Source organism: Homo sapiens, chromosome 19 (genome assembly GCF_000001405.40).
Source record: "Homo sapiens chromosome 19, GRCh38.p14 Primary Assembly".
Taxonomy (NCBI): domain Eukaryota; kingdom Metazoa; phylum Chordata; class Mammalia; order Primates; family Hominidae; genus Homo; species Homo sapiens.
Window position 1 is genome coordinate 41,268,372 of NC_000019.10, and position 27,553 is coordinate 41,295,924.

Sequence of the window (27,553 nt, forward strand, 5' to 3'; positions counted from 1 at the left end):
TTTGGATGGAAACAATCTACATGGAGCCTTTACCCCCTGCTTAGAGCGGGTCTTCCCAGAGAAACTGTGCATCTTTTTTCTTGGGCAGTTCATCTAAACATTGTCACTCTGGCAAGAATTGTTTAAAGGAAAGATCTCAGTCCTATTTCCAAGTGTTGGGAGAGGGGAGGTTCCATGGTATCTGTAAAAAAGTGATGTTAGTATCAGCCGGGTGTGGTGGCTCCCTCCTGTAATCCCAGCACTTTGGGAGGCCGAGGCAGGTGGATCACCTGAGGTCTGGAGTTCGAGACCAGCCTGGCCAATATGGTGAAACCCGTCTCTACTAAAAATACAAAAATTAGCCAGGCATGGTGGCAGGCACCTGTAATCCCAGCTACTTGGGAGGCTGAGGCAGGAGAATCACTTGAACCCAGGAGGCGGAGGTTGCAGTGAGCCGAGATCGCGTCATTGCACTTCACTCAGTCTGGGCAACAAGAGTGAAACTGCATCTCAAAAAAAAAAAGATGTTAGTATAAGCACCCTGGAGAGTTGAGACCCCTAGACTAATACTTGAATCTTATTTAGAATCTTAGAATGGGGGAGCCAGAAAGAGCCTTCTAAGTCTAATCTGGTATTTCTCATGTTCTGAAGATTATTGTTTCAGGGGATATTATTAGGGGATTCTCAGAAAAGGGTTCCTTAGCCAAATGTGTCTGGAAACTGTAGCATGTGCTATATCGTCTCTTGGAAATTCACTGTGCTTGTTAGAACATTAAAGGCTCTGAGAAGTCCAGAATTTAAAAAAAAAAAAAGAAAGTGTGTGTCAGGCCTCAGGCCAGGTGCGCTGGCTCATACCTATAATTCCAACACTTTGGGAGGCCAAGGTAGTAGGATCATTTGAGACCAGGAGTTCCAGACCAGACTGGGCAACATAGTGAGACCCCTTCTCTACAAAAAATTTAAAAATTAGCCAGGCATGGCTATGACTGACTACATGCACACACCTATAGTTAAAGCTACTCAGGAGACAAAGGTAGGAGGATCACTTGAGCCCAGGAGTTTGAGGCTGCTGTGAGCTATGATTACACTACTACACTCCAGCCTGGGTGACAGTGCAAGACCCTGTCACGAAAAAAAAAAAAAAAAAAAAAAACCTAAAATTAAAAGTAGGTTAGAACACAGTGGCTCATGCTTGTAATCCTAGCGCTTTAGGAGGCCAAGTCAGGAGGATCACTTGAGCCTAGGAATCCAAGACTAGCCTGGCAACATAGTGAGACCCCTGTTGTCTTTAGAAAAAATTAAAAATTGCCTGAGCATGGTGACATGCTTGTAGTCCCAGCTACTCAGAAGACTGAGTCAGGAGGATCACTTGAGCCCAGGAGTTCAAGGCTGCAGTAAGCTATGATCGTGCACGGCACTGCAGCCTGGGCGACAGGAAGACCTTGCCTTAAAAATAAAAACAGGCCGAGTGCGATGGCTGTTACATGCCTGTAATCCCAACACTTTGGGAGGCTGAGGTGGGAGGATTGCTTGAGTCCAGGAGTTCAAGACCAGCCTGGGCAACATAACCCTGTCTCTATAAAAAATAAAAATATTACCTGAGCATGGTTGCACAATCCTATAGCCCCAGCTACTCTTTTTTTTTTTTTGAGACGAAGTCTCGCTCTTGTTCCCCAGGCTGGAGGGCGATGGCGCGATCTCAGCTCACTGCAACCTCCGCCTCTCGGGTTCAAGCGATTCTCCTGCCTCAGCCTCCCAAGTAGCTGAGATTTCAGGCGCCTGCCACCACACCTGGCTAATTTTTGTATTTTCAGTAGTGACGGGGTTTTACCATGTTGGCCAGGCTGGTCTCAAACTCTTGACCTCAGGTGATCCGCCCGCCTCAGCCTCCCAAAGTTCTGGGGTTACAGGCGTGAGCCACTGAACCCGGCCAAGTCCCACCTACTCTGGACCCTGAGGTGGGAGGATCACTTGAGCTAGGAAGTTGAGGCTCCATGAGCCATGATGGCAGCACTGCATTCCAGCCTGGGCAACAGTAAGCCTCTGTCTCCAAAAAAATTTTTTTTTTAATTAAATTTAAAAACCTTGTGTCTTCTTGGGCTGGTGTTGCTGAAAATATTTTTTTTAATAAAAAAATAGACAAAAAACCTTGTGTTGTATCGTTTAAACTTAGGATTTCCCAATCATGTTAAGTATATGTCTTTACAGAACAAAGTTCCCCATGATGCCAACTCTCCCTTCCCTTTTTTTTTTTTTTTTTTTTGAGATGGAGTCTCGCTCTGTTGCCCAGGCTGGAGTACAATGGTGTGATCTTGGCTCACTGCAACCTCTGCCTCCCAGGTTCAAGTGATTCTCCTGCCTCAGCCTCCTAAGTAGTTGGGACTACGGGCGTGCCACCACACCCAGCTAATTTTTTGTGTGTTTTTAGTAGATGTGGGGTTTCACCATGTTGGCCAGGATGGTCTCAATCTCCTGACCTCATGATCTGCCTGCCTCGGCCTCCCAGAGTGCTGGGATTACAGGTGTAAGCCACTGCGCCTGGCCTCTCCTCCCCATTTTATAGATTGAGGAGTTGGCTTGTCCGATGGCAGAGCTGGGGCTACAACCTAGCATACTTGCTCCCAGGCTAGTCCTCTTGGTTAATAAGCAGCATTCCTTATCATTTGTGCCTTACTATTTGGAAAGCAGGGTCCCACTATTGAGAACTGATGGAGCCCGGACTGACCCCCAGTTTTGTGCTGCTTTTACTGTGTTGTGGCCTCCCAGTGCCTTTTCTTAGTGTATCTGGTTGATTTTGTCTAACGCCATTCTGGTTCATCCACAAAGTTAAATCCCCAGACATTTCTTGTGGGTGGCTCAGAACTTTACTGAATGTAGGTTAAACCGCAGATTTGTGTCAGGCTCTGTGAGACTTGTAGGATCATTCAGCCACAGGAGAATATTTTCTGTGCCGTTATCCACAGACATTCATCAGGAGCCCTGTGTGAGCCCAACCTATTGCTGGGAACCAGGGAAGCTCTCTTCAGGATGGCTGAGCACCATCCCAGCCCTAGAGAACCAGGAGACTTTTCTGAGAGATGTGGTCCACATGCCGAAGCTGGGGAGTGATCCAAAATGGTCTGGGGTTGAATGCAGAAATGAGTAGATGTGAATGAGCTTCAGCATCAGGGATTAATGCTGTGGGAGAAATGAAGGTAGCCTACATCTGTGGTTTGCTCTTGGTTAGGCACTGATTCCTGGAGTCTGCCTGAGACTAGGACTTACCCGTGGTCCACAGCACGGTATCCCATCCTGACTTTCTGTTAATGGTATGACTTAAAGAGGTTATTGCACCTATGGGATGGCTTAACCGGAGTGATTCTGGCCTCTTTTGGTAGGGTAACTAAAGCCCGTAGAGTTAGCTGCAGGACCACAGTACCCTGTTGAATTCATCCTCTCCCCCTCCCTTGCCAGACTGAAGAAGCTTTGTAAGAACTAAGGCAGAGAGGTTCTTTGGGAAGAGAAATTGGAGAATTTAGGGTCATGGTATCTCAGATCCTAACCCTGTTCTCCAGTATGGCCTTCTTGGCTGGCTCAGCAGGCTTCTGTTGAACTCAGCAAGCTGCCTGTGCCCAGCCCTTCATCACTGTAGTGAGGATCCTGCTCACATCTCTCAAGGGAAAAGGGACCAGAAAAGTGATAGCTGGGGAGCTTGCGAGTGTCTTGACCATCTGAATTTGTCTTGACAATAGAAATGAAGACAGAGATGAAGCAAGGAGCACCCACCAGCTTCCTCCCGCCTGAAGCTTCTCAACTCAAGCCAGACAGGCAGCAATTCCAGAGTCGAAAGAGGCCTTATGAAGAAAACCGGGGACGGGGGTACTTTGAGCACCGAGAGGATAGGAGGTGGGTGTATGAGGCAGCAGTCACCCTTGCTCTGGTAGGTTTCTATATCCATAGCCTCGTGCTTGCTGGGGACATTTGCACTAACCTAGAGGGGCTGAGTAAAGATTCCCTCTGCTTTCACACTCTTCCTGTCCCTTCCCGTACTTGCTACCAGATTCAGCTTTCCTAAACTTTTGGTCCTTCCCCCAGTTCCTCCCTTCTTACCTGCAGGGTAACTTCTAAATATCTTAGACTTTCACGCGTGAGATGCCAGCCTGCCTGTTCTGTCCTTTGCCTTACTGCCCCTGCAGTCAGCTGCTTGATACCCGTAATGAAAGAAATATCTGTTTCCTAACACTACTCCCAAATACACATCCTCTTCCCATTCATCCACTCATTCAGTCAGTTCTCACAGTGCTGTCACGAAGTGCCCACTCTTGGGCTGGACACTAGCAACATACAGATGGACAGTGGGTTTTGCCTTCTGTTGTTCCAGTGTGGGGACTCAGACACATACACTAGTAAGCCACAACCTCTGAGGTGAGTAGTCAGGATGCAGGTGAGTTTCAGGAGTTCAGAAGAGGGAGCAGCCTCTGCTTTGGTCATTTCCCTTCCCTAACAAGCCCTTCCCTCCTTTCCCTCCAGACCAAGTCCTTCCCTTCCCTCCTTCCTTCCTTCAGTTCCTGTCTGAAGCCTTTTGCAATTATGAAAACTAGGAATGGCCACTGTACTCATCTGGACTAGTCATCTGACATTCTATTTCCTATCTGGCGGAGTCCACCTTCTAACTAGCTTGTTACTGTCTGAGACAGGGCCTGGATCTCACAGGCTATGATTTAAGTTAGGACATGGATCCCACCTCATATGGGGTTCTTCCACTGCCTCCCACAGAGCAGAAGCCTGGAAGCTACTTACTGATGGAGAGCAAAGGAAGAACACTCGCTCTGATCCTGGGCTGGCAGGGAAAGTTTCCTAGAATGGACTTAACATGTGATGAGCACAGCTCATCCATGTTAGCCCTGGCCTGGCGAGGCCAGAGGGGCCCTCCACCAGAGGGAAGCCTGCTGCTGGGAGAGTCAGCAGCCAAATGGGCATGGGCTCCCCATCTGTGCATGCAGTGCACTGCGACCACCCAGACTGTCCAGGCAGGACCCTGAGTGTTAGATTCTACCTTTCTACCCTTCTTCCTCGTTCCTGTACAGCAGAAACCAACAGTGTTAAGTCCCTTTTTTAGCGTTTTGGTAGGAAAATGAATATCGTTTATAATTTAGGACACTGAAAAAAATGGGTCATCTCAAATTCTTACAGATGTAGGATTTTAAGAAGCCTGGTACATGGATAGATAGTAATTATTGGGATTTATATAGGCTCTTGCACATTCCCCTTCCTGGCCAGCACCCTTTTGGGATACCACAGCCTCCAAACAGTAACAGAGATCAGTGTGGAAGTGGTTGTCAACATGCAGAGGGTATGGATCAGAATCTTTGGGTGTAAAAAAAGAGTGAAAAAATTCCCTAAATGATTCTGATGCCCCCCTTCAGCAGAGCATGCCTTCTTCAATCCCTGTCTCCACCGTAGGAGTTGACGGTCATTGCTCTCCTTGCAAGGATGTAGGGTTTCAGAGTTCTTTTGCCCACCTCTGTGGAAGGAAATGGAGATTCAGGAAGCAGTCTGGAGGCCACTCATAGATTACAGCAGAACATTCATTTTCTTTCCTTTGTGCTCATCCATTGTTCTTGTATGACTTAACCCCTGTTTCTAATACAGGGGCCGCTCTCCTCAGCCTCCTGCTGAAGAGGATGAAGATGACTTTGATGATACCCTTGTTGCTATTGACACCTGTAAGTCTTTGGAGTGTGCATCTAATTCTGCCTTACAGTCAGTATGGGGAAATTGTGGTCTTGACCTTCACCAGAATCCCTGCTGGGCACCGTCCAAAGACATTGTTAGTCCACATGTGAGACACGGCTTAGCTCTGGAGCAAGAGTACTGGTTTGGAGGCAAAAGACCTACTCCCAACTCTAGCAGTGGGACCCTGGGCAAGTCATTCTACTTCTCTGAGCTTCCCTTCAGGAAGGAGTAAATCTGCTGTACTAACCTCAGAGGATTTTCAGGGAGACTCCTCAGTGGATATAGGAGCAATCTGGAAAACCCTGAACCGCCCTGTACACACAGGGGTTGTCATCTAATCAGGAAGGGAATCTGAGTGCAGCTGGGGAAACTTAACTCTTTGACAACCAGTTCCCGTTTCCATCAGCTGCTCAAGTTCCTGGTGAAACCAATGCCACTGTGTCCTGTGAGGCACTAACCTGGCCCGCCCTGCTGTCTGTCCTCCAGTTCAGTTTTCTTTCCACTGGATAAGTGGCTTTCACCTTCACTGTGCATCTGAGCATTTGGAGGAATTATTATAAAGGTCCTTTCGCTCAGACCTCCTAGTCAAGAGTCTAAGTGGTCGAGCCTATGAATCTAAATTTTTACATGCACCCAGAAGCCCAATCAGGTCTGAGAACACTGCACTTCTCAACAGAGCAGAAGATAAGCAGCAATTTATTCATCTATTTCTACAGAAGCTTCTGTTTATAAAGCACTGGCTACATGCTTTAGTAAGAGATAAAAATATACACAATCTCTAATATCACAAGCTCTCGAAAACAACATCTACCCAGAGTAGAGGTAAACATTGTTTAAAAAGTGTTGGGTGGCAGTGGTTCATGAGGCAGCGTCTAGATGAAATGCAAATGTACAGATCATGACGGTCAGCCTTTAGAGAAAGGAGAGCGCCTCATGGGAGGGATGGTCAGGAAAGGCTTTCTTGGAGGCGTGACTGGCTCCTTGAATATTGAGAATATTGAGAAGGGTAAGAGCAACAGTAGGAGAGTCCTAGGCCCATGAAAGGAATTAGGAGCCTATGGGGCACCTGGGCATTGGTTCCTGGGTGGCAGGTGTGGATCAGGGTCAGATCCCTGTATAGCTATTGGAAACAGAAGTCCGGTTCCCAAATTGATAGAATTACCACAGAGGGCGGTAGGAATATATGGTGGTGGTGATTAACCTTTTTGTATTCTAAAAACTAGTTTGAGCCTGGGTAACATGGCGAAACCCTGTCTACGAAAAATATAAAAATCACCCTGGCATGGTGGCATATCCCTGTAGTCCCAGCTGTTCAGGAGGCTGCGGTGGGAGGATGGCTTAAGCGCAGGAGAACAGAAGTTGCAGTGAGCCGAGATCATGCCTCCGTACTCCAGCCTGGGTGACAAAGCGAGACCTTGTCTCAAAAAAAAAAATTAATTTGAAACTGCTGAGGATATGGACCCTATCCCTAGCAAATACACATCCCCACCAAAGACATGTGTTGACAATTTCTGAGGATACCCCTGAAGCCCCATCCTTGGATCCCACCAGATAAAGAACCCCAGTTCCTCTCTGAGGTCATACAGGCCAATTTGCAATACTGCACATCCTCCCTACTCAAAGGGAGAGAGGTTGAGGGGTGTGCTGGTTCCTTTTGAAACTGCCCCCATGATGTGTTCACTGTGTACTCCTGGTCAGCACTTGGGGAAGTTCCCTCTGCCTGCTTCTTTCTTAGGACTTCTAAAACATCAGCCAGGCCGGGCGTGGTGGCTCACGCCTGTAATCCCAGCAGTTTGGGAGGCCGAGGCAGGTGGATCACCTGAGGTCGGGAGTTCGAGACCAGCCTGGCCAACATGGAGAAACCCTATCTCTACTAAAAAATACAAAATTAGTCAGGTGTGGTGGTGCATGCCTGTAATCCCAGCTACTCAGGAAGCTGAGGCAAGAGAATCACTTGAACCCGGGAGGCGGAGGTTGCGGTGAGCCAAGATCGCACCATTGCACTCCAGCCTGGGCAAAAAGAGTGAAACTCCGTCTCAAGAAAACAAAACAAAATAAAAACATCAGCCAACTGTGGGCATTTTCCTTCACAGATAACTGCGACCTCCACTTCAAGGTGGCCCGAGATCGGAGTAGTGGCTATCCGCTCACAATTGAGGGCTTTGCATACCTGTGGTCAGGAGCCCGTGCCAGCTATGGGGTCAGAAGGGGCCGTGTATGCTTCGAGATGAAGGTGAGTAGGAGCAAGAGAAGGGGAAGGGACAGAGAAGTCCATCCATTGTAATATCCTGATACCAGCCACCTTGGTCAGAGCTGCAACTGCAAAAGAGATTGGATTGTGCAATACCATGTCCAAGCAGACAAAACTGTGATGAACTCAAGACAACTACATCATTGCTAAATATCATATCAGAAAAGCAGGCCAACCATGCATTGCTTCATCAAGCAGATATTTCCTTGGTGAGATTTGACCCAGGTATTATGTAGTCAACCAGTGTAGTGATGACATGTTTGTAGAACTGAGAAAAGAAGTTGTTTGGAAGAAAAGTGATCTAGAAAGAATAGACTCAGATGTCACTTATTAAAGGGAGGCCAGAGGGAGAACAGGGCAAAGAACTGCCAGCTTAGGCCAGCCTCTGCTGTCATCTCTCCACAGTTCCATGTCAAGTTATGTTTATGAAAATAATAGATGCTCATGTTTAACAAAAGTTCAGACAGCACAGAAAAGTACAGGATAAAACAGGTTATTCTCGCCAGGTGTGGTGGCTTTTGCCTGTAATCCCAGCACTTTTGGGAGGCCAAGGCAGGTGGATCACAAGGTCAGGAGTTCAATACCAAACTGGCCAAGATGGTGAAACCCTGTCTACTAAAAATACAAAAAAATTAGCCGGGCATGGTGGCGGGTGCCTGCAATCCTAGCTATTCAGGAGGCTGAGGCAGAGAATTGCTTGAACCCAAGAGGCAGAGGTTGCAGTGAGCCGAGATCACGCCACTGCACTCCAGCCTGGGTGACAGAGTGAGACTCTGTCTCAAAAAAAAAAAACAAAAAAACAAAAACAAAAAAAACAAAACAGGTTATTCTCATGTCCTCTCAGTTCCCATCCTACCATCCTACTCCCTGGAGGGAACTTCTGTGTTAACAATTTCTTACCTGTGGTTTGTGTATCCAAACTTACTGATGATAGCTAATAAGTATAGAGCTCTTTGCATGCACAAGATACAGCACCAAGCTCTTTACATGGATTATCTCCATTAATCCTCACAGTACCATCTGGAAACAGGTACTGTTAGCCCCAGTTTTTAGAGGTAGAAGCTGAAACACAGAGGGTTATATTTTATTGACCACGACACCATTGATGTAAGTTGTGCATTATTTTATGTACCTCTCATAGAGAAACACTGCAACAAAATAAACTACGCAGTGTTTTCTTTTTTTGTTTGTTTGTTTTTTTGTTTTTGAGATGGAGTTTCACTCTTGTTGTCCAGGCTGGAGTGCAGTGGCGCGATCTCGGCTCACTGCAACCTCTGCCTCCCGGGTTCAAGCAATTATCCTGCCTCAGCCTCCCCAGTAGCTGGGATTACAGGCATGTGCCACCCTGCCCGGCTAATTTTTGTATTTTTAGTAGAGATGGGGTTTCTCCATGTTGATCAGGCTGGGCTTGAACTCCTGAGCTCAGGTGATCTGCCTGCCTTGGCCTCCCAAAGTGCTGGGATTACAGGCGTGAGCTGCCGCACCCAGCATACGCAGTGCTTTCTCATCACATTTATTGTAAAATGGATCCTGATTTCAGAGATTTTAAAATGTGTGTCTGAAAAGCCAGTGAGGCCACAGGTAGATACGGATATTCGGCAGTCTAGTCTTTTAATACGAAATTAAGTCAGAAGGCTTTTTTTTTTTTTTTAACTTAATACTGTATCTTGGACATTTTTCCATAGCAGTACATTAGCCCAATGTACTGCTTTGCTCCTTGTTTTTTGTTTGTTTGATTGTTTGTTTTGTTTGTTTTGTTTTGTTGACGGAGTTTCACTTGTTACCCAAGCTAGAATACAGTGGCGCAATCTCTGCTTACTGCAACGTCTCCCTCCTGGGTTCAAGCGATTCTCCTGCCTCAGCCTCCCAAGTAGCTGGGATTACAGGTGCATGACGCCACGCATGCCTAATTTTTTGTATTTTTAGTAGAGACGGGGTTTCATGATGTTGGCCAGGCTGGTCTCGAACTCCTGACCTCAGGTGATCCACCCACCTTGGCCTCCCAAAGTGCTGGGATTACAGGCTTGAGCCACCGTGCCCGGCCTACTTTGCTCTTTTTAACTGTTGCATCATATTTTGTGGCATGGATATACCATAATCAGTGCTTTATTGATATTTTTTCTGATGTTAAAATATATATATATATATATATGTGCACATATATACATCCAATGCTGCACAGAATGTTGCATATACAAATACAGTCACACATACGTAGACATACTTGTCCACATATTAGTGTATCTATAGGATGCTGAGTTATAGAGCATGTGCATTTATGGGGTTTTGTTGTTTTTTTCTTTTAATGTTTTTGTAAAGATGGGGTCTTGCTATGTTGGCCAGGCTGGTTCCTAACTCCTGGCCTCAAGCCATCCTCCTGCCTTGGCCTCCCAAAGTGTTGGGATTACAGGTGTGAGTCACCATCCCCAGCCATTTACAGTTTTGATAGAGACTTCTAGATTGCCCTCTAAAGACACTGTAACAGTTTATCTTTCTACTAGATGTTACAAGAGTCTCTTAAACTAAAACATAACCGTATTTTGAAATGCCTGTCTCTGTGGCCCTGTACTCTACTGATCCCTTTGGAGGCCCTGGCTTCGATTCGGTTCAACAGGCTTTTCAGAGCTGCTTAAACGCTTCTTCTCCAGCAAGAAAAGCCATTGCTATTTTTTAATGCCTGATATGCTTCCCTCCTATATTGGCTCATAACCTACGGCCTCCAGAGAAGCAACCCTGAGCCCTTTTGTCCTCTTTCCTCAGATCAATGAGGAAATCTCCGTGAAGCACCTTCCGTCTACAGAGCCTGACCCCCACGTGGTCCGTATCGGCTGGTCCCTGGACTCCTGCAGCACCCAGCTAGGTAAGGAGGGGTCAGCTATGCAGTCCAGAGAATAGAGTGACTGTCCCTACCCTTGGATTTTCAAGGCTCCTAAGCTTCCTTTTCCAGCGTCAGACTTAGAATAGAACTAGGCTGAAGTGGAACAGGTACAAGGATTAGGTATATGCCACTGTCTCTGTCATGCTGTATTCAACTGAGAGGACTATGGTCATGAAACAACTTTTCTGTGAAGAATCAATTCTTATCCTTCATCTTTTAGGAGAGGGTCCAAAATTCTCTTTAGGAATCTATTCCCTTTCTGTAAAAAGGATCAGTGTCTCCTGCCCTTAAACCAAGCTGCTGATAAGTTCCCAAGCTCCATTAAGTTCTGTCTGTATTTTCTGTCCGGAGCCTAACCTAGAGGAAAAAGGGGAGCAGAGACCAGTGAGGCCAGGGCTAGTTGGGAGAGGGGCAGGGGCTGCCTATTGAAAGGTTTTGAATTTTGCGGGTCCCCAGGCTTCAATGACCTTCTGGTCCCAAGTGACTGATTATTCTGACCAATGCTGACACCTCCTGCCTTCCGTTTATGATCATACAAACGTTCCAATTATGAAAATAATATGTGTTGCGTATAAGAATTCAGGCCATACAGAAAGGGAAAAATGAAAATCCTTCCTAAACCTGTGAGAGAAACTAACCAATGTTAACATTCCATTTGTAGTCTTCTGGACATTTATTTTTTTGTACATCTTTAAACTGGATCACACTAGGACTACTTTGTATAGCCTTGTTTTAATGTATGATGGGCATATTTTTGTAAATAACTGCAGCTTTTTGACTACTGCATAATTTTCCATTTTATAGTTGCATTATTTAACAAGTCCCCTTCTGTAGCTCATTTAAACTTATTGCAAATTTTTGCTGTTTTAACACTTGAGCCATTATCCTGGTCCATAATTGCCTGACCACTTAAGACTAATCTTTAAAAATAGATGATATTCTCACTCACAAGTGTTTGTTTAAAAAATATGTTCACATGGACTTAGAGAGTGGAATAATAGATAATGGAGACTCAGAAGTGTTAGGGGGTAACAAGGTGGAGGAGGATGAGAAATTGGTTAATGGGTACGATGTACATTTTTTAGGTGATGAACACCCTAAAAGCTTGACCACTATGCAATCTGTGCATGTAACAGAATTGCACATGTACCCCATAAATTGGTACCTCCTCAAAAAGGTAGATATGTTAGCACCAAAAAAAAAAAGTATACAGTTTTCATTTCCATATGTGTTAGCACTTTTTATTTAAGACTCATAAGTCATCTCATCTTATCTCTGTCTCCGTTTTGAGATGTAGGTGGTGGCAGTTGATAGGGATGGGGAAACAGCCCAGGAGGTCAAGCACCATATCCAGGGTCACATAGCTGGTTTGTAGCAGAACGAGCCCTGGCATTCATGCTTGTCGGCCCCTGCTTTTCTAACAGCATACTCTTTGGGTTCTGCCCGGAATCTCTAACTCAGGTGTCAGCCAGAGCCCTTGGGATCTCTCAGTCATATCACTTCAGCACCCAGTTCTGTAGCCTGAGGAAATCTAGTACCTTTCCCAGGGGTCAGTCCTCATGGTCTCCAGGAGCAAAATCCAGCCCCTTCACTGATTTCTACCACAAGTAGACTGGACTGAATATTGGGTGTCACAAGGAAGGGTTGCATCTCAGCATACAGCCATTCTCCTCCATCCCAACTCCTGTCTTCCTTCCTCCCTTTCTTTTCAAATTCTCCCCTCTGTGCAGAGTTATTCAGTTGAGCTCCTACTCCCAGACTGGACAATGAAACCCATCAAGCCCTCCAAGTTCTACATCATTAAGGGCTTCCTTTCACCCTTCCCCACCCCTATTTTAAAAAGGCATCTGATTAATAAAACTAGTAAAGAAAATGATTTTTTTCTTCAAAAATAAAAGTATGTGGCAGCCATTGAGGCTGTTATGACCATCGCAGGTTTAACCTGCCTTTGCCTATTTCTTCCGTCAGGCGAAGAGCCTTTCTCCTATGGCTATGGAGGCACTGGGAAGAAGTCCACCAATAGCCGGTTTGAAAACTACGGAGACAAGTTTGCAGAGAACGATGTGATTGGCTGCTTTGCGGTGAGTGCTAGCAGCCTGTGGGAGTTGGCAGAACCAGATGTTGGGCTACAGACTTCTTTTTCAGGATACCTCTATCCATTGTCTGCCCCATATCCAGCCACTCTCGCCATACTTCTTTGTCTCTGCTTGACAGACTGGAATGTTTACTGTCATTTTGTGGGAAATTCTGTCATTCCATCTCCTCTGGTCTTGTGTGCAAAGTTTTCAGATGACACCCTGAAGAGGTTTGGGGACTTCAGGTGTGCATAGCCTTCCTCCGTTCCTAGGTACCAGAGTAACATTTTCTAAACAAACCTAGGAATTTCTTATCTTTCATTGCTAGGAAATAGCCTGTCTGCTCCTGAAGGCAGTGGTATTGGCTCTTGCCCCATGTTGGCATCATCTTATCCCAAAACTTCTCCCTTTCTTCATCTCACATTGGTTGAGCCAGGCTTCCTACAATGCACTGCCTTCTGGAAGAGTAGAGATGATGCAAAACAGAACAGCTGTTGCTGCCATACTTCAGTCTTTGAGAACAGTGACCAGCAGTCACCTTGCTGTGCAGTATGGCTGTCAGCTCTGGGCTGGACTCCCTGGACCCAGTTATGTTCTTCCATTCAAGCCCTGGGCAATTTACCCTTCTTGTTTTTCAGTTCCCTCTAAATGAGAATCTTTGCACCTACCTCAGAATTTTGTGTGGAGTCATTAAGTTAATCCATTAAAAGCACTTATAATAATGCCTGACACACAGTAAGTGCTCAGTAAATACCACTTAATACTGTTAACATTAGGAGTTATAAGAGATGTTTGTAAAATGTGCCGTAAGGCCCCAGAGGAAGTGACCACCTGGATGGATTCATCCTCTGAAGCTTATTCTTTTGCCTTCCTTCATATTTGTACACATGTACTCTTCCTTCTTCTTTTTTATTTATTTATTTATTTTTGAGATGAGTTTTTTGCTCTTGTTGCCCAGGCTGGAGAGCAATGGTGCGATCTCGGCTCACCACAATCTCCGCCTCCTGGGTTCAAGCGATTCTCCTGCCTCAGCCCCCTGAGTAGCTGGGATTGCAGGCATGCACCACTACACCCAACTAATTTTGTATTTTTAGTAGAGACGGGGTTTCTCCATGTTGGTCAGGCTGGTCTCGAACTCCCGACCTCAGATGATCTGCTCGCCTCGGCCTTGCAAAGTACTGGGATTACAGGTGTGAACCACCACGCCTGGCCCCTTCTTCTTTTTTTAACTTTGAGATAAATTCAAACTCGGAAAAGCTTGAGAATAAAGAATTCTCACAGGGCCTTATCCAGATTCTAACATTTGCCACATTTGCTTTACCATTTTCATGTTTATGGTGTACATACACATAGAGAGTTAACTCTTCAACAATGTGTTTGAATTGCACTGGTTCACTTATGTGCATATTTTTTTCTTTTTTTCTTTTTTTTTTTTTTTGAGACGGAGTCTCGCTCTGTCGCCCAGGCTGGAGTGCAGTGGCGGGATCTCGGCTCACTGCAAGCTCCGCCTCCCGGGTTCACGCCATTCTCCTGCCTCAGCCTCCCAAGTAGCTGGGACTACAGGCGCCCGCCACTACGCCCGGCTAATTTTTTGTATTTTTTTTTTAGTAGAGACGGGGTTTCACCGTTTTAGCCGGGATGGTCTCGATCTCCTGACCTCGTGATCCGCCCGCCTCGGCCTCCCAAAGTGCTGGGATTACAGGCGTGAGCCACCGCGCCCGGCCATTTTTTTCAATAAATATATTGGAAACTTCTTTGGAGATTTGCAACAATTTGAAACAACAGACATAGCCTAGAAATATCGGTAAGATTAAGAAAAAGTTAAGCATGTCATGAATGCATAAAATATAAGTAGGTACTAGTCTGTTTCATCATTTACTAGCATAAAATATCCACAAATCTATTACAAAAAGTTAAAACTTATCAAAACTTGTGCACACAGACTCTACATGGTACCATTCACAGTTGAGAGAAATGTAAACAAACAGTACAGTATTAAATCATAACTGTTTTTATTTTATTTTTTTGAAGACAGATTATTTTCTCTGTCACCCAGGCTGGAGTCTCGTGGCGCGATCTCAACTCACTGCAACCTCCGCCTCCGGGGTTCAAGTGATTCTTGTGCCTCAGCCACCCGAATAGCTGGGATTACAGGTGTGCACCACCACGCCTGGCTAATTATTGTTTTTTGTTTGTTTTGTTTTGAGACGGAGTCTTACTTTGTTGCCTAGGCTGGAGCACGGTGGCGCAATCTCGGCTCACTGCAACCTCCGCTTCCTGGGTTCAAGTGATTCTCCTGCCTCAGCCTCCTGAGTAGCTGGGATTACAGGTGCACGCCACCATGCCTGGCTAATTTTTGTATTTTTAGTAGAGTTGGGGTTTCGCCGTGTTGGCTAGGCTGGTCTTGAACTCCTGACCTTAGGTGATCCACCTGCCTCGGCCTCCCAAAGTGCTGGGATTACCAAGTGTGAGCCACTGCACCTGGCCTAATTTTTGTATTTTTAGTAGAGATGGGGTTTCACCGTGTTGGCCAAGCTGGTCTTGAACTCCTAACTTCAAGTGATCTGCCCACCTCGGCCTGCGAAAGTCCTGGGATTACAGGTGTGAGCCACCAAGCCCAGCCAACTGCATAAAATTAACCAGCGCATACTGTAATAATTTTGAAGCCACCTCCTATTGCTATTATGGTGAGCTCAATTGTTGCAAGTTTCTACTTAAAACACTGTGTGTCATACATCTTCACGTGAGCAGTTCTTTTCGGTAAATTGTGTATCACAGTAAAAAGTGATCTCGCAATTCTTGTGTATTTTTTAATCATGTTACTGCAATATCATAAGCCTTGAGTAGCACCATGGGATCCATACGAAGTTCCACTAGTGATGCTGGAAGTGTTGCTCAGAAGCAGAAAAAAGTTATGGTATTACAAGAAAAATTTGAATTGGTTGATATGCACTATAGATTGAGGTCTGCAGCTGTAGTTGCCTGCCATTTCAAGATTAATCCAGCATAAGGACCACTGTAAACGAAAAAAAGAAAAAATTCCCGAAGCCATCACTACTGCTGTGCTAGCAGGTGCTAAATCCCTGCACTTTTTATCATATATTGACAATGCAAGGCCGGACACTGTGACTCACACTTGTAGTCTCAGCACTTTGGGAGGCCAAGGTGGGCAGATCGCTTGAGCCCAGGAGTTCAAGACCAGCTTGGGCATCATGGTGAAAACAAACTTTTAATATTTTATAAACATAAAAATTAACTGGGTTGGTGATGCACGCCTGTAGTCCCAGATAGGAGGCTGAGGATCGCTTGAGCCCAGGAGGCTGCAGTGGGTTATGATTGGCCCACTGCACTCCAGCCTGGATGACAGAATGAGACTCTGTCTCAAAATAAATAAATAAAACTGCAGCTTTTGTGTAGGTACAGAGTTGCTATAAGAAAGGCATACCTGCCGGGCACGGTGGCTCACGCCTGTAATCCCAGCACTTTGGGCGGCCAAGGAGGGCAGATCACGAGGTCAGGAGATCAAGACCATCCTGGCTAACACAGTGAAACCCCGTCTCTACTAAAAATACAAAAATTAGCCGGGCGTGGTGGCCAGCGCCTGTAGTCCCAGCTACTCGGGAGGCTGAGGCAGGAGAATGGCGTGACCCTGGGAGGCGGAGCTTGCAGTGAGCCACGATTGCGCCACTGTACTCCCGCCTGGGTAACAGAGCAAGACTCTGTCTCAAAAAAAAAAAAAAAAAAGGGCATACCTATAGGCTATAATTCAAGAAAAAGTGAAGTCATTATATATGACAACATAAAGCAAAAGAAAGGGGAAAGATCTAAAGCTGCTGAATTTAATGCCAGCAAAGGATGGTTTAATAACTTTAGAAAGAGGTTTGGCTTAAAAATTCTTTACAGGAAAGGCAGCTTCTGCCAACGAAGAGGCAACAAACAAGTTCCCAGGCATCATTAAGGTATAATTGAAGAGAAGGGATATCTGCCTGAACAGATTTTTAATGCCAAGTGCAGTGGTATGATCTCAGCTCACTGCAGCCCCCGCCTCCCCGGTTCAAGCTATTCTACCTCAGCGACCCAAGTACCTGGGATTACATACTTGCGCCACCACACCTAGCTAATAATTTGTATTTTTTGTAGAGATGGGGTTTCGCCAAACTCCTGAGCTCAAGCAATCCGCCCTCCTTGACCTCCCAAAGTTCTGGGATTATAGGCCGGAGACACCATGCCCAGCAAATTCTGTCAGATTGATGATCAGGACTGTTACTTATAAAGCTGGTAACTCTCAAACCCTAAATCCTCAACACCAGTTGCCAGTCATTTGGTTGTACAACAAGAAGGTGTGGATGATGAAAATCCTTTTTCTAGATTGGTTCCATTGATGCTTTGTTTCTGAAGTTAGGAAATACCTTTCCAATATGTGGTTCCCTTTTAAAATTATTTTGATATTGGAGAATGCCACCAAGAACCCCATGAGTTTAGTACAGAAGGGGTCAAAGTGGTTTATTTGTCCCTAAACAATGGGCTGACCCTTGAACTTTGCAGGGATTAGGGGCACCAACCCCCATGCGGTCAAAAATCCACGTATAGTTTTTGACTCCCAAAAACTTAACTACTGGCTGAGCGCAGTGGCTCACGCCTGTAATCCCAGCACTTCGGGAGGCCAAGCTGGGTGGATCACTTGAGCCCAGAAGTTCAAGACCAGCCTGGGCAACATAAGGAAACCCTGTCTTTACCAAAAATAGAAATAAAAATTAGCTGGGCCTGGTGGCACACGCCTGTGGTCCCAGCTACTCAGGAGACTGAGGTGAGAAAAAAAAAAAATTAATAGCCTACTGATAACATAAACAGTCAATTAACACATAGGCTAGTGTCTACAATTTTTATGCACTCATATGACATACCTAACTTTTCCTTTTTTTTTTTTTCAGTATTTCTAGTCATAGGGATCTGAGAGTTTTTTCAAATTGTTGCAAGTGTCCACAAATATTTTCAGTATATTGAATGAAAAAAGTACACATGTAAGTGGACCTGCCCAGCTTGAAGCCAGTGTTGCTAAAGGTCAGCTGTGTTTTCATCTGACCCATTTGAGAGGAGGTTGCATACATCATGTCTTCATTACTTTGGTCTGTATTCCTTCTTTTCTTTTTTTTTAATAAATGAGACAGGGTCTTGCTGCATTTTCACAGGCGGTGATCCCTCTTCTGATCAGCATGAGAGTTTTGACTTGCTTTGTTTCCTACCTTGGCTAGTTCACCCCTCCTTAGGCAACCTGATGGTCCCTAACTCCCAGGAGGTCACCATATCAATGCCGAACTTAGTGTGGACAGCCGATTGGCATAGTGCACTACAGCCCAGAACTGGGCTCAAGCCATCCACCCCAACCTAGTAGCTGAGACTGCAGGTGCACGGCACTGTGCCAGGCTCGGTGTGTACTCTTTTTTTTTTTTTTTTTTTTTTTTTTTGAGAGAAGTCTCACTCTTGTCCCCCAGGTTTGAGTGCAATGGCTTTATCTCGGCTCACTGCAACCTCCGCCTCCCCGGGTTCAAACGATTTTCCTGCCTCTGCCTCCCAAGTAGCTGGGATTAAGGCGCCTGCCACCATGCCTGGCTCATTTTTGTATTTTTTAGTAGAGACGGGGTTTCACCATGTTGGCCAGGCTGGTCTCGAACTCCTGACCTCAGATGATCCGCCCGCCTCAGCCTCCCAAAGTGCTGGGATTATAGATGTGAGCCACCGCGCCCAGTCGGTGTGTACCCTTTTTGAGACGGAGTCTTGTTCTGTCGCCCAGGCTGGAGTGCAGTGGCGTGATCTCGGCTCACTGCAAGTTCTGCCTCCCAGGTTCAAGTGATTTTTTTGCCTCAGCCTCTCAAGTAGCTGGGATCACAGGTGCACACCACGACATCTAGCTAATTTTTGTATTTTTAGTAGAGACAGGGTTTCACCATGTTGGTCAGGCTAGCCTCAAACTCCTGACTTCGTGATCCGCCCACCTCGGCCTCCCAGAGTGCTAGGATTACAGGTGTGAGCCACCACAACTGGCTGATTCTTAAGAGTAAAGATATTAATGACAGTAAAGTTATTAAATTTAAAACTTGATATAATGCTATTATCTACTGCGCATTCAAATTTTGTCACTTGTCCCAACAATATTCTTTCGTCCAGTTGAGTTTCTAGTTCAGGATCTGATCTGGCCTGGGATCATATTGCATTCTCTTGCCATGTGTCTTTAGTTTCCTTTAGCCTGAAACAGTTTCTCAGCCTTTTTTTGCATTTCAGGATCTCAGTATCTTTTTGTTTTTGTTTTTGAGACAGAGTTTCGCTCTGTCACCCAATCTGGAGTGCAGTGGCGCAATCTCAGCTCACCACAACCTCCACCTCCCAGGTTCAAACGATTCTCCAGCCTCAGCCGCCCGAGTAGCTGGGACTACAGGTACGCGCCACCACACCTGGCTAATTTTTGTATTTTTAGTAGAGTCGGGGTTTCACCATGTTGGCCAGGCTAGTCTCGAACTCCTGACCTCAGGTGATCCACCTGCCTCAGCCTCCCAAAGTGCTGGGATTACAGGTGTCAGCCACTGCGCCCGGCCCTCAATATGTTTTCAATAAAACATTTTTAAAATGAAAACTGTGTTCATACTCTACAAATTGTTCGGTTTTAAACCTTGCATTTTTTTCCCATTGAAGAGTAAATCTTGGCCATCTTTCCCTGTCCACACAGACAATATATAGATCTAGCTCAGTTAAAGTTGTTTCTTAATAGTTAATCATTGTGAATTGATTTTTTCAAGAATAGGGTTTCCAAAAAAAAATCGAGGAATGTAAAAGGGGATACAGTGTAAAGTCTTCTTTAGACACCCCCCCTCCCGCCCCACCCATTTTTCACATATACCCTCCCCAGCATGTGAACCCACTGGTACTCGGGGTTTCATCTTTTTTTTTTTTTTTTTAACTTGTATGTCTTGGGGGTCTTTTTATTTATTTAATTTTTTTGAGACAGAGTTTTGCTCTTGTTGCCCAGGCTGGAGTGCAATGGCATGATCTTGGCTCACCACAACCTCCGCCTCCCAGATTCAAGTGATTCTTCTGCCTCAGCCTCCCAAGTGCTGGGATTACAGGCATGCGCCAGCATGCCCGGCTAATTTTGTAGTTTTAGTAGAGACAGGGTTTCACCATGTTGGTCAGGCTGGTCTCGAACTCCCGACCTCAGGTGATCTGCCCTCCTTGGCCTCCCAAAGTGCTGAGATTACAAGCGTGAGCCACCATGCCCGGCCTTGGTGGGGATCTTTTTATGGTACTACCAAGAGAGCTTCTTTGTACTTTTATATTGTCTGTAGTCATTGTATGACTGTACCATAATTGATTTAACCTAGCGCCTCCCTTTGGTGGACATGTCGTTACTTTTGCAGCTTTGTATTTAGTGACTGTAATGGCTGTCTAGTATTCTGATGCAGGGGTTTGGGTACCCTGCTTTAATTTAGCCCGTCTTCCTGTTAGTGGCTGTGAAAGTTGTTTCCTGGAACAGATAAATGCGGCTTGTCTTTTTTCCATTTACTGGAGTAACTTGGAGATCTTTTTGTAGCCCCACATATGGATCTCCTGTGCAATTTAGCCACTCCTACTTCCCCATTGGAGCACATTTTCCGTGCTGGCATGAGCATTTTGCACATAGAATTTTGCATTCTTGTGGGAATGTAGTTGTATTCCTTCTTGAAAGTTAGATTCTAAGTCAAAGGTATATTTTTAAATTTTCATAGCTACCACCAAGACTACACTCCAAACAGGTTGCAGTAATTTAACTTGTCACTGTGTGACAGTGTTTGCCAAAGTCTGTTCTTTCAGAGTATGAGGTTCTTTTGGTATGTGGCAGTATGGAACTCTAGGCCTTGACTCTTGCTTCAACCAGAACATCTCTGCATCCAGTCTTAAGATTCCTTATATAGTTTTCTTTGTTCAGAAGATACCACAACTTTAAAAAGGCTCAGGGTGAGGAGTTGGTGGGGGTGTAAAAATCATTGGTCTCCTGGAACAAGAGGGGAGGACATTGGTGTCAAATATCAAGTCCTCAATTTGCAAAACAAAAAGGTAAAACAGCCTTCCAAGTGGAGAACAGAATAACCCATTTCAGCAAACCATAAAGAGTATGATACTTAGAGCCTAGGGACAACAGAAAGAGGTGTGAGACACCAGGCTATAAAAATGGCAGGCTCTGAATTATGCCAGGCTTCAGGAGTTTGGGTCTTTAGGCCTGGGACTGACACAGGAGTGTTTCAGCAGGAACAACAACACAACTCCACTTGCCTTTTGGACAGATGGCTCTGTTGGTGGTAGATGGGTTGGTTGAGGGCGCCGGTTTCTGTGCATTATGGGAAGTTCCTATAGTGAAGCTGGTGGCCATAAGGAAGGCTAACTAACACCAACAGTCATACCTGCTCTCCATGGTCTTTTTTTTTTTTTTTTTTTTGAGAAGGAGTCTTGCTGTTGCCCGGCTGGAGTGCTGTGACATGATCTCGGCTCACTGCAACCTCCAACTCCCTAGTTCAAGTGATTCTCCTGCCTCAGCCTCCTGAGTAGCTGGGATTACAGGCACTCGCCACCATGACCAGCTAATTTTTGTATGTTTAGTAGAGACGGAGTTTCACCATGTTGGCCAAGATGGTCTTGATCTCTTGACCTCATGATCTGCCCACCTCGGCCTCCCAAAATGCTGGGATTACAGGCGTGAACCACCACATCCAGCCGCTCTCCATGGTCTTGACGTGGGTGCATGCTTAGAGATGAACAGGCATGAGGGCCTCTGACACAGAGCTGTGCCCTGTGAGCACTGAGGAGGTTAATGAGGAAGCTCCTCAAGGGAGGGTGCTTCTGTCGCTTCTTGAAGGGCAATTCCCAAGGTGGTCACCTGAATAGAGAAAGAAATTATACTTTCATATCAGAAAGCGAACCGTGTATTTTGCTTCAGTCTGCTATCTAATCTCAAGTTTTGAGCCTTTTCTTCTCTGAGATGGGCATTTAGAAAAATATTTAACAAACGTTTTAAAAATATAAATTTTAAAAAGGCAAAAAAACACTAAGAAAAAAAAGAGCCTCTCGTATCCTGCAGCCAAAGCAATGTTTCCAAAACACAGTTTTGAGCAGGCTGCTCCTCTATTCAAAATAAGTCAGACACTCTGCTCTGCCACCAGCATCAAGTTCAAATTCCTGCGGTAAATTAGAGTCCCTCACATGCCGAGGTAGGCCGTGTCCCCTCCCACCACTTCAGTCCCAGCCCCTTATTTCTAGCACAGTGCCTGACATTTTGCAGTGATAGCTCACATTCCTTGTGTGCTCACTGTGTATTAAATGTACTAGCCCATTTAACAGTTAGAATAAACATAGGCTGTATAAAATATTATTACCCCGCCCCCCTTTTTTTGATAAAGAAACAAGATGAAATAACTTAACCAAGGCCACAAGTTAGTAAATGGTAGAACTGAAGCCATCCACCTTCTAAAATGGGATCATAGGCTAGGCGTAGTGGCTCACACCTGTAATCCCAGCACTTTGGGAGGCTGAGGCGGGTGGATCACCTGAGGTCAGGAGTTCGAGACCAGCCTGACCAACATGGAGAAACCCCGTCTACTAAAAATACAAAATTAGCCGGGCGTGGTGGCACATGCCTGTAATCCCAGCTAATTGAGGCAGGAGAATCGCTTGAACCCAGGAGGCGGAGGTTGTGGTGGGCCGAGATTGCGCCATTGCACTCCAGCCTGGGCAACAAGAGTGAAATTCCGTCTCAACAAAAAGAGGGGGGATCTTAATTACTAACTTTAGCAATTCAATAAGTAGTTGTTACAGAATAAATGAATGTGGTCCCTGCATGGCTCTTCAGCTGTTCCTGAATTACTTCCCCCTCATCTTTTATGCCTCAGCCAATCTGACCTTGTGTTCTGTCACTGCTAGGCTTATATACAAGCAACTGAGAAACCTCAGAAACTTGCTTCTAGGTAGGTCATCTTACTGAATTATGATAGAGTGTCCTTGTCTCATTCCCCACTGGTCGCTAAGCTCTGTCGGTCCCAGATTATGCAGACATGTGTATCAGAAAGAGTACGAACTCAGGGAACATGTTGAACAAGCTGAACTCAGTTCGAAAAGGCCCTGCGGTGGCTTTCCTTCATCTGTTATATTCATAGACTGCCCTTTCTGGGTTTCTTTTGTTTGTTTTTGTAGAGATGGGGTCTCTTTCTGTTACCCAGGCTGTACTTGAACTCCTGGCCTCAAGCATCCTCCTGCCTTGGCTGCTCAAAGTGATGGGATTATAGGCGTGAGCCACTGCACCTGTCTCCTCATCAGTTTTCAGGACAGGACTGGACCACCTTTTCCTTCGTCTTCATCTCAGTCTAGGCACAAGACTCAAATACTTGGAGCTTCTTAAAATTACCTGCTTTAGGACAGGTGCAGTGGCTCAAGCCTATAATTCCAACAGTTTGGCAGGCCAAGGTGGGAAGATCACTTGAGTCCAGGATTTCAAGACCAGCCTGGGCAACATAACAAGACCCTGTCTCTACAAAAAAATTTAAAAATTAGCCAGGTGTGGAACATGCCTGTAGTCCCAGCTACTCAGGAGGCTGAGGTGGGAGGATTGCTTGAACCTGGAAGTTTGAGGTTGCGGTGAGCCCTAGCTGTGCCACTGCACTCAGCCTGGGGGACAGGGTGAGACCCTGTCTCAAAAAAAAAAAAAACAAAAAAAAAAAACTCTTGCTTACTTGCTTCATATCCACCAACTTTGGGGTCTTAGGCAAGGAGGACTTTGGGCTGGACATTCTCTGAGATGTTCACTGATGCTGCCCAGCTTACCTGTATGTTGGGGAAGGATGCACTTCAATCTGGAAAGCTGTCCACATTCTACTCCCTGCATCTACTGTCCTCACATTTGACTCCCAGTGCCTATGGCAAGAGTTGGCAATCATATTCCTTTGGCTTTTTCTCCTAGGATTTTGAATGTGGAAATGACGTGGAACTGTCTTTTACCAAGAATGGAAAGTGGATGGGCATTGCTTTCCGAATCCAGAAGGAAGCCTTGGGGGGTCAGGCCCTCTATCCTCATGTCCTGGTGAAGAATTGCGCAGTGGAGTTCAACTTCGGACAGAGAGCAGAGCCCTACTGTTCTGTCCTCCCGGGGTTTACCTTCATCCAGCACCTTCCCCTTAGTGAGCGTATCCGGGGCACCGTTGGACCAAAGAGCAAGGCAGAATGTGAGGTGAGTGGGGCCAGAATGTATTGGTGGCCACCTTGCTGCCAAGACAGAGGAGACACACACACACACACACACACAGACTTGCTGCGAGAGTAGCCTTGGGGCAAGTGGCCACTTTGTCCCAGCTCCTCAGGGTTGGACTCAGAGCTGAAAAGCTGCTCTGAGTGTGAGGTGAGGGGTGTTGGTGTGACCTAAGTTGAAGTCGGAGAGGCTACCTAAATCTCAGAAAGATTGCATCTTCTTCTTAAGTGAGGCCAGAATAGGGGAAAAGGAGGCTTTTCTTACAGCAGAAAAGGACACTAGGCGCTTCTTGGGGAGTGCACTGTGCCACCAAGTGTTCTTTTTTTTTCTTTAGAGACAGGGTCTCGCTCTGTCACCCAGGCTGGAGTGCAGTGGTGCGATCACGGCTTACTGCAGCCTTGACCTTCCAGGCTCAAGTGATCCTCCCACCTCAGCTTCTCGAGTAGCTGGGACCACAGGTACATGCCACCATGCCAGGCTAACTTTTTTAGCCACTGAGCCTGGCCCACCGAGTGTTCTTGAAGGAGGTTGAGTAAGTTCCACCTCTCACCCAGAGCTATCAAAAGATAAATGGCCTTTGGGAAGATTTGATTCCAAGAGCTATACTAGTGTCTTTTTTCTTAAAACAATATTTTTCTTGTATGTGTAAGTTATTTATGCTTGTTCTAGAAAATTAAGAAGTAAAAAATTTAAATTTTCATAATGCCATCATCTACAAATAAGTTTACTTGCAGAGTTTTGGAGTTCATCTGTTCTTTTTAATGTCTAAGTGCCTGTTTTATGCTCACAAACATTTATCATTGAGATTCTATGGTATAAGCATTATGATACCCTGCTCTTTTCACTTCACATTATTTTGTGAGCTTTATCCCATCACATAAAAACCTCTCTTTGAACATCATTTTTTCTTTTTTAAAAATCCTTCAAGGGAATGAACGTCATTCTTAATGGCCTTACAAACTCGCCACTCCCCCCTAGTCGGGCATTTAAGATGCATCTGTGTTTACCAAATTCTAAATGTACTGATTAGATACAATTCATGTCCTTGTGTGTGCAGCTCTGTTCCTATTTCATACTTAAAGAAAGTTGTACCACTTCTACCCACTCCATGGGGCCAGTCCCAGTACACAGCCTTCCCTGGGCTATTGCAGGGGGCGGGGAATGGGTCACATAATCCTGTAAATGGGCTGGGTTTGGTGGCAAATGCCTATAATTCCAGCACTTTGGGAGGCCAAGAAGGGAGGAGGATCCCTTGAGTATAGGAGTTTGAGACCAGTCTGGGCAACATAAGGAGACTCTCATTTCTACCAAAAAAAGAGAGAAAAAGATTAGCTGGGTGTGATGGTTTGTATCTGTAGTTCTAGCTACTCTGGAGGCTGATGTAGAAGGATTGCTTGAGCCTGGGAGTTCAAGGCTGCAGTGAGCTGTAATTGGGCCATTACACGCCAGCCTGGGCAATAGAGTGAGACCCTGTCTCAAAAAAACAAAATACTATAAATGCTAATGATGACAGCACTTGGTTTTTTGTTTTTGTTTTCCCCCGAAAGTCCTGGGATTATAGGCGTGAGCTACCGTGCCTGGCCAGCACTTGACTTAATGCTCACCCTGTCCCAGGCACTGTGCTCAGAGTCTGACAAGCCTGATCTTTTTGAATCCCGATACCAGTACTGTGAGGTAGATGGTATTACTGCTTCCGCTTTGTAGAGGCAGCCACAGCTCAGAGGTCCAGAGTCACACTCACAGTCACCACCGAGCCAAGTGGTGCCATACCACCATGCCGCAACACCTTCCCTGTCTTGTTCTTGTAGATTCTGATGATGGTGGGCCTGCCTGCTGCTGGCAAGACCACATGGGCCATCAAACATGCAGCCTCCAACCCTTCCAAGAAGTACAACATCCTGGGTACCAATGCCATCATGGATAAGATGCGGGTAAGGCCAGCCACTGGACTCTCCTTACTCACCTCCAACCTACTGAGTGCTGCCCTGCAACTAAAATCACTCACCCCTCACCAATTCCTGCCCGCAGGTGATGGGCCTACGCCGGCAGCGGAACTATGCTGGCCGCTGGGATGTCCTGATCCAGCAGGCCACCCAGTGCCTCAACCGCCTCATCCAGATTGCTGCCCGCAAGAAACGCAACTATATCCTAGATCAGGTACTTAATGATGACCATTGTGTCCTCAGGAGAAGGGAGGGGACCCCTTGCATGCCTGAGAATCTCCCTCTGGTCCCTTTCTTTTTTCCCCCGTAATGATGATGGACTGCTGTGCTAGTCGGGGGGGTCAGACCTTGTCATACATGATGACATGGTACTACACACAGCTGAGCCTGGACTGGGATCATGATCTAGGCCTACTTACTCAGACTCATCAGCAGCCCCAAAGAACATCAGGTAAGAACTGTTTAGCAAAATGGAAGGAGTATGGATTTCCAAGCCTGAGAGACTGGAGCTTGAATGCCAGCTCGGCTACTCCCTAGCTCTGTGCCTTTGGGCAGCTGACTTTATTCTCTGAATCTCCATCTCTTGGTTTGTAAAACAGGGATCTCAATACCATCTGCACCCCTAACGCAGGACCTGGCACTTAGTAGCTGGTGATTATTGTTAAATACTCTACAGAATAGGTAGAGTAGCTTTCATGCCAACAGCAGTGCTGTAAGGTAAATGCTATTATTGCTTCCGTCATTTTCTCTTCACAAATACGTATGACTGGCAGGTACATACCTAAGTCATATTTTCTACCTACACTTCAGTTAATGGTGGAGTTCTTAACATCAGGGACCTTGGAACCTTTGTATTTGAACATAAATATTGTATGCAGCTGCAGGTGTATCCTTTTTATGAAAAAGAAGGGAAAAAAAAACAGTTTTTTGTCCCTATCTTTCAGCATTCTCAAAAGGATGAGTGACCCAAAAATCATTACAGATTCCTGTCTCAGAGTAATGAGTTCCACATGGTTATTGCCTATGCAACGTCATTGCCTATTGACATTTGTCCTGAAGGCTTTCACAAGTAACAAAGGGTGTCTCCTTATTTTCTATGTTTGGGGATCTGTGAATGAGCCTCTGTTCCCTTCAGCCTTGCATTTGTGCTTTCTTAAGAACCTGTGAGTGAGCAAATATGTAAACTAAGTAACACCCTGCCCTTGTAGCCTTCCTGAAGTGCCTTCCATACGTGTAGGCCTGGATACTTGGTGACCATGAGTTCAAAGGGCTCCTGATAAGAGTGGAGGTGGGGACAGCGTTTGGCTTTGTCAGAATGGTAGTTTGCTTGTTAGAAAGGAATCGCCAGAGACCGAGTTGCCTTCACATAGGAATGAGGATCCTACACAAAACAGTTGAGCACAGGATAGTCTAAAAGCCATCCGTGGTTATCCCCCCAGCTCATATTGTGTA

General features: G+C 45.7%; 1 protein-coding gene and 1 pseudogene across 18 annotated transcripts in view, besides 1 other annotated feature; one reads left to right on the forward strand and one right to left on the reverse strand.

The window, feature by feature from the left end:
• The window catches only part of HNRNPUL1 (heterogeneous nuclear ribonucleoprotein U like 1), a 45,231-nt gene that overhangs the window by 5,815 nt on the left and 11,863 nt on the right, over positions 1 to 27,553 (forward strand). For all 18 annotated transcript variants that reach the window (NM_001439172.1, NM_144732.5, NM_001439179.1 and 15 more), the window contains exons 3-10: positions 3,711 to 3,864; positions 5,611 to 5,684; positions 7,788 to 7,927; positions 10,706 to 10,805; positions 12,792 to 12,904; positions 23,874 to 24,140; positions 25,967 to 26,089; positions 26,187 to 26,315. In NM_001439172.1, the coding sequence (NP_001426101.1) occupies positions 3,711 to 3,864; positions 5,611 to 5,684; positions 7,788 to 7,927; positions 10,706 to 10,805; positions 12,792 to 12,904; positions 23,874 to 24,140; positions 25,967 to 26,089; positions 26,187 to 26,315 (1,100 nt within the window). The remainder of the gene's footprint in view (positions 1 to 3,710; positions 3,865 to 5,610; positions 5,685 to 7,787; positions 7,928 to 10,705; positions 10,806 to 12,791; positions 12,905 to 23,873; positions 24,141 to 25,966; positions 26,090 to 26,186; positions 26,316 to 27,553) is intronic.
• Positions 8,000 to 8,200: a silencer, noted in NCBI's record as "peak3484 fragment used in MPRA reporter construct". NCBI's record gives its function as "represses an SCP1 promoter by STARR-seq MPRAs in K562 erythroleukemia cells {active_cell/tissue: K562}" and the evidence as "EXISTENCE:reporter gene assay evidence [ECO:0000049][PMID:32103011]".
• Positions 18,053 to 18,322, reverse strand: RN7SL34P (RNA, 7SL, cytoplasmic 34, pseudogene; annotated as a pseudogene).